At 31.4% G+C, this 7,083-nt stretch overlaps 1 protein-coding gene across 5 annotated transcripts in view; it reads right to left on the bottom strand.

The window, feature by feature from the left end:
* Positions 1 to 1,654: 1,654 nt before the first annotated feature.
* The window catches only part of TTK (TTK protein kinase), a 37,879-nt gene continuing 32,450 nt past the window's right edge, over positions 1,655 to 7,083 (bottom strand). For all 5 annotated transcript variants that reach the window (NM_001438341.1, NM_001166691.2, NM_003318.5 and 2 more), the window contains exons 18-22: positions 6,135 to 6,215; positions 4,310 to 4,486; positions 3,902 to 3,986; positions 3,479 to 3,576; positions 1,655 to 2,063 (exon numbers count right to left, since the gene is read on the bottom strand). In NM_001438341.1, the coding sequence (NP_001425270.1) occupies positions 1,980 to 2,063; positions 3,479 to 3,576; positions 3,902 to 3,986; positions 4,310 to 4,486; positions 6,135 to 6,215 (525 nt within the window). In that variant the 3' untranslated portion in view covers positions 1,655 to 1,979. The remainder of the gene's footprint in view (positions 2,064 to 3,478; positions 3,577 to 3,901; positions 3,987 to 4,309; positions 4,487 to 6,134; positions 6,216 to 7,083) is intronic.

The raw sequence follows: 7,083 nt of genomic DNA, 5'->3' as shown, positions 1-7,083 counted from the left end.
GTTGAATTTTTACCATGTTTTCTCTATAAGTGTGGTTTGCAGAATTCCTGTTTAAGCTTACTACTTACCTATTACACTACATTAACTTAAAACCAATAATTCTGAAAACTAATAACCATAGTTACAAATTTGGGAATGAAGAGAATGAGAAGAAATGCCACAAGTGGGAGAATATATGTGCAAAAGACATCTGATAAAGGACTGTTATTCAAAATACACAAAACTCTTAAACCTCAATAAGAAAATGAACCAATTTAAAAATGGGCAAAAGAAGATACACAGATGCAAATGAGCATATAGAAATGAGATGCTCAAAATCATGTCATTAGGGAAATGCAAATTAAAATGAGATACCCCTACCAACCCATTAGAATGCCCCATATCCAAAACACAGACATCAAATGCTGGAAAGGATATGGAGCCACAGGAACTCTGAAACATTGCTGGTGAAAACGCAAAACAGTACAACCACTTTGGAAGACAGTTTGGTGCTTTCTTACACAACTAAACACTCTTACATAGATTTTAGCAGTTAAACTCCTTGGTCCCAAAGGAGTATTTAGCCAAAAGAGCTAAAAAAAATTAGGTCCAGACAAAAGCATGCACATAGCAAGTTTATTCACAATTCCCCAAATTTGGAAGCAACCACGGTATCTTTCAGCAGATAAAGAGATAAACTGTGGAACATCCAGACAATAGAATATTAACTAGTGCTAAAAAGAAATAAGCTAGCAAGCCATAAAAAGACATGTTGCTAAGTGAAAGAAGCCAATCTGAAGAGGCTATAGACTGTATGATTCCACTTACGTGACGGTCACATTCTGGAAAAGTAAAACTACAGAGATAGTAAAAAGATCAGTGGTTCCCAGGCATTAGGGTAGAGGGAAGGATGAAGGGACAAAGAACAGAGGACTTTCAAGACAGTGAAACTATTCTGTATCATGTTACAATGGTAGATAAATGTCATTAAATATTTATCAAAACCTAAAGAATATACAATACCAAGAGTGAACCCCAATATAAACTATGGACTTTGGGTGATAATATGTTAAGGTAGGTTTACGGACTGTGATAAATGTACCATTGTGGTGTGGAATGTTGATATGGTGGATGCTGATAGCAAGGGAAGTTATACATGTGTGGGGGTGGGGTGGGGAAAGGATACATGGGAACTCTGTACGTTCTGGTCAATTTTGCTGTGAACTTAAAACTGCTATAAAAAATAAAATCTCTTAAAATCTTTTTTTAAAAATTGAGAAAAGGATGCTATGTGAGGATACTTTAAGCTATCAGATTCAGTCAAGAGACTCTGGGGCCACATTTACAATTATCCATTACCTAGCAAGTCATACAGTGAGGGCATGCCCTATACAGCTTACAACACAGAATCCAGCATGATATTCTAAATACCAAAAACAACAGACGTTATGAATATCTGAAAGAGCCAAGTTCAGTCCTAAAATTATAGACTGTTATCGGTGCCGGAAATAATTAGGAAGTCTATTTTGGAATTCAAACCCTTCAGGATTTGTTTTTCAAAGTTCATTTACTAAGGTCTAGTCTCACATCTTCCCTAATCTACTTTTTACTAATTAAGAATTTTGCTGCCATGCCAACAATACATTTGCTTAAAGAAAACAACCTTACAACTTTGAAATGTTAGTGTCATTTTAGCCACAAAACTTTATTTACAAAGTTTTTTAGAATATACTTGCTATCCACCCACTATTCCAAGAGTAAAATGATGTCAAGTAGATTACACAAGAGCATAAAACAGAGAAAACAAGTCTACAATATATACAGTGCCATAAGTGGTTGCTATTTTTACAGTTTTCTTTTAAAGATAATCTACTGAATTTTTTTTGCTGATAACACTTCAGAGTGATGTTGTCTTCAAATGTAGATTTCCACAGGGATTCAAGAGTATAACAGTCCAATATATTTTATAGGTGGTATCTGACATTACGAATAACTGCAAATCATTTTTTTCCCCTTTTTTTTTCAAAAGTCTTGGAGGATGAAGAATTATGACTTTCACCACCACTATAGTGTTCATATAAAGTCTGAAATTAAAAAACACAAATCTGTTTTGCAATTTTTTAGTTAAATGTACTGTCACATCAGTAGATGTATTTTGATGTATTCTAAATATAATACATTTATTTCTCTCTTGTTCTTACAGTTGGGAAATTATTTTATAAACTATTAGAGATAATAAAGAATTTTAAACACGAAGCTTGGCCTTAAGCATTACCTATCATGAGATATAACTCAATCTTTCTATGAGAGAAATATAACAGAGCTACTAATAAACATACATATGAGCCTTCAAGGCCTTCTTTATCTCTTTACTTTTTCTTAAATAAAGCCAGTCTTAGGTAAATTCCTATACAAAATATATTTATTAGGAAACTTTATATTCTCAGATGATAATAAGCTAATAAATAGAAGACATTACAAATTATATAAATATAATAATTAGATATATATTAAAATCCATGTATTTAAAAATGATTTAAGACTCAGCTAACATCTAACTTATGAAGATGGCAGACATCTTTGCCCTCAAGGAACATACAACTTCAGTTATAAAAATAATCCACCTCAACTATAGCTATAAGAGGCTTTGAATAATATATTAGTATAAACTTAAAACATGGAGATACAAAATACAGAGCAATTACAAAACAAATTTGGTCCACTTTTAATTACTAAATCCATTGATTTAGCCATTAGCATTTGAGAAAATTTAAGAAAACAGGTACCTCATATCATATAAATGCAAATATAGTGAATATATAGTAAATTCCTTCAAAAAATGTATTCAAGTTCTTGGCAACTTAGATGGATTTTATATGTATCCAGAGAGCTACGAGTATTGATAGTTTAGGTTCCCATAATTTTATGATAATGTTGTAACTGAAATACATAATTAGTAACTGCTTGTTGGCTAAATCAGTTGGTCAATAAGCATTCACAGGGTTCTAGAAATAACTAGGTGTTTGAAAAATCATGGTATAGATATAAATGGACATTGGGAAGCTAAAAAGCTTGAGACTTGTGCTTTGAGAATTGTGTTGATTGCTGTGTACAGCTTCAAAAAAGCCATTACATGTAATGTCTCTAAGGAAAAAACTGGCTAAAAGGAATGAATTCAAAAGCTGTATTAATAATGGTGCTGAATTAAAAGACACACTATATTCCTATATTAAATGTATTCCAGTTGAGACGTGACAGCAATCTTTTGAATGCACCTTATGTGATGATCTACTTTGAACTGTACTGTATGCAGAAGAAGAATATAAATCAAGTAAATCGATATTTGTCAAAATGCACATGTTAAGTATCTAAATGTAGAAACATGTTTCATAACTGATCTGATGATTGGACCAACTTTTCTTCAGACTACCTGTTTCCTTAAGTGTCGAATTCACTATATAAAACAGTAAAAATTAATGTAAAGAATAGACATACTTACTTTAGCAGCTTTCAAAATGGAGTTAGGAGAATTCAGACCAACAAGTTGGCCCAGAACATATTTCATTTCTTCAGTGGTTCCCTTGGCCATTTGGTTAACTATAAAATAAATCAATAATACACTAGTACCAGTAAGAAAAATATAAGTCCATTGTAAATACACATTTTGTTTAATAGCACAAAGTGATATTCTTATAATTTATCACTGATTATAACCCGTTATCTGGAATAAGTAAAAATAAATACCAGAAGTAAAGAAAAAAAAGTTTATTTACTTTACTATTTATAATAATGGAACTTCCTTAAGGAAAAAGGCAGGCTGACAAAGGGTAGCCAATTTAGATTCTGTCTTTGTTATATTAATAGGTAACAGACTGTTTATACTACCAATCTAGTAATAAACAAATTTTTAAAGAAGTAGTACCTGGATGAGTTTGAATTTGAACATATGGATGAGCCAGGAGCTCAGGAATGGATATCCTCTGTTTTGGGTCCCTTTTTAAACAACACTATTAAAACAAAGATATTTTAAAAGAAAAACAAAGCAGGTTTTCATATATGATATTGATAAAGTATTTTTCCAGATTACATTATATTATAAAAGTTACTTTTTAGATATCCCACTAAAGTATTATGACAAGATTATTTCTCCCAAGGCACTTTTGCAAAATCCCCAAGTATTTACAAGCTTTAAAACATCTTCAAAGTAAAAAAACTAATTCAGTTAGCAATTCTTTTGAATAGAACAGTTATATCTAAGCCAGTTACATAATTCCAATTATTTCAACTATTTCTTTTAAGTAAATAATTAGTTACATGAAATTAATATTACCTTTAACACATCTTGAAGATCTTTCTCTGGAATATCGGGAAATTCAATTTCATGATTAGGATCAATTATGGCATGTAATTTAGAAATCTGATTAATTATCTGCTGAAATGGTGTTTTCCCGTAAGTCATATAGTACAAAATACATCCTAAGGACCAAACATCACTTTTGGGGCTTATCTAAGAAAAAAACAAACAAACACAAAAAAGTTGCTGTTATTTTCATATAAAATGAAAAAACATATATATTAAATATACATATTTAAAATCATAATTAAATCTCAATGAATGTGTACTACATTATGTTAACATGACAAAACATCTTTTTCTAGTTTTCATTTCAGTTGGTTATTCCATCAGAAGATATGAGCTTTACTTTAAATCTTTCTATAACCTCATAATTAAAATATTGCAATTAAGACAAAATATTAAATTCTTCCCAACTTGTGAAAATATAAAATTAAAAAATGTAAGTTTTAAGTTTGTTTTCCCCAGAATTACTGGATTATAATAAATTTTTATATAAGTACAAAGTATGTATACAGTTTCAAAGGTTGCTTAAATTATGCAACCCTTCAGACAAGACCATTGGAAATAATAAATAAGCAATACAACTTTAAACCCAAGCACATATACTATAGAACTATGCGGAGCTTGTGTCCAAAATCCTCAAGTATTTACAAGCTTTAAAACATCTTCAAAGTAAAAAACTAATTCAGTTAGCAATTCTTTTAAATAGAATAGTTATATCTAAGCCAATTACACAATTCCAATCATTTCAGCTATTTCAAGTAAATAATTAGTTATATGAAATTAATATTACCTTTAACATATCTTGAAGATGTGTTACTAACTGGTAATGCTATGTGTCTGTTTTCTCAACTCTGATATAGAAATTATAAAAGTACATTGTCATGGGCATTAAATGATAAACCATAAATATGGTTAATCATAGAGAAAAGTTTCTGGTTATCACAAGTACTCAAGTTGTAAAGCAAATGAAAATAGAGTTGATAAATGAAGTCAGGAACTGCTTATTTAAGAAGAACAAAACCACAGAAAGTCTAATAAAAACACAAGAAATTTAAGTTTTAGAAGAGTGGAGGCTAAACAAATATAAAAAGAATTTTATGAAAACATTTGGCAAAATTGTATGCCAGTTATTTGAAAAACACTTACAAGCCAGATTTTCTAAGGAGGAAAATAAAATTTAGTAAATAAAAACACATTTATCAAGCAATGATTCTGAGCTGGATAAATGTACTAAGTACTTTATATATTCTTTCCCATTTAATCCTCAATTTATTTTACAATAGGCACTGTCTATAGGCACAATTTAGAGACAGGGAAACTAGGCAAGTCACTTGGCCAAAGACAGTTGTTAATGAAGAGGCAGATCTATGACTTGAATGAATACAGGTCCCTGGGACAATGTGTGCTTGCACCCACTTGGTTACACTGATGTAGAGAAAGAAGGGTTAGCCTGGGAGCCCAAGGCATCAAGGTAGGCAAAAGGAGCCCCGGACAAAGGGCACCCATGAGGCTAACGCAAACTCATCGAGGTAGCGAGATAAAGTCAGTGGAAAAGTAGCCAGTGGCAGGCCAGAAAACAATTACATTCTCCAGCTGTACTTGGAAATGTAGAATTCACAAACGAATAAGTGGTGAAAAATAGTAAGAATTGGAAACGAAAAAAACCAGCAATGTCTCTGTAATGGCCTAAAAAGTTTTAGAACTTAAAGAAATTGTTATCTGGTAAGTTTATTCAGAAAATAGTGCATTCCCTACTGTTGCCAGATAATTGTGATGTAAATAATCTTTTCAGTACCTTTGACTTAGATTTCCCATTCTCTCTGGAGGAAGACATATCTTTGATTGCTTCTGGTGGCATATAATTAACTGTGCCAACCTATATGCCAAGTCAGAGAAAACACAAATCAATGAAAATATTTAATTCTGCTTTAGATTTTTTTTTGAGATTATTATTATTATTATTATTATTATTATTATACTTTAAGTTTTAGATTCTTAAAAATACAAATGCCAGATCCTTGGAAACTTGGGTAATTATAAATTTCAATGATATCCTTGCAAATTTCAAATAACTGCTGACAACGTTAAGATATATATATCAAATTTCTTCACAACTGCAGCAAAACGAGTTGGGTTCATAATCAGCAAAGTGACTCCTTTCAGAATGCTGTGCTTTTTCTATGATTATACTGGGCAACTAGTAAAGCCTGCCCTAAAAACTCTCCAGGCTAAAATCCTATTAATGGCCATAAACTTTGAGGCCATTGAGGGACTTACCATTCGTTTCTTGTTGTAACATACTCAACTTTAAAAAAATATATTTTTTAAATAAGCCCACCAATATACAAACAAAAATACCATCTAGCTTTGTCTCACAGTAGTCCTCTGAGTTTCTACAGTAGGATATGCCAACCTTACAATGAGCTCATTTTCTTCTAAAATACATGGTTTGCTTTAAACACAGAATATATCTACTTTAGGGCCTTGACATGGAAGATATTGTCAAGCTGATTTACAACTCATTGATCTGCCATACTTTTGATACAAAGAGACATGACTGTCAAATAGGGCATGTCGTCCATCATTCCTCCTAACAAAGTCTATTTTACTCCTGGGATTAAGGTGGACTCACATCAAAAATCTGTAAACATGGAACATATCATCTTGGTTCCAAGCAAGAATATCTTTTAGATATACTTTGGTGCCATTGCTTTAGTTTTTATAGAACAACGTCTTTTAGTTTG

The sequence above is a fragment of the Homo sapiens genome, chromosome 6 (assembly GCF_000001405.40).
Source record: "Homo sapiens chromosome 6, GRCh38.p14 Primary Assembly".
Classification (NCBI taxonomy): Eukaryota; Metazoa; Chordata; class Mammalia; order Primates; family Hominidae; genus Homo; species Homo sapiens.
The sequence above is the reverse complement of the archived record's forward strand: the minus strand, read 5'-3'. Positions and strand labels throughout refer to the sequence as shown.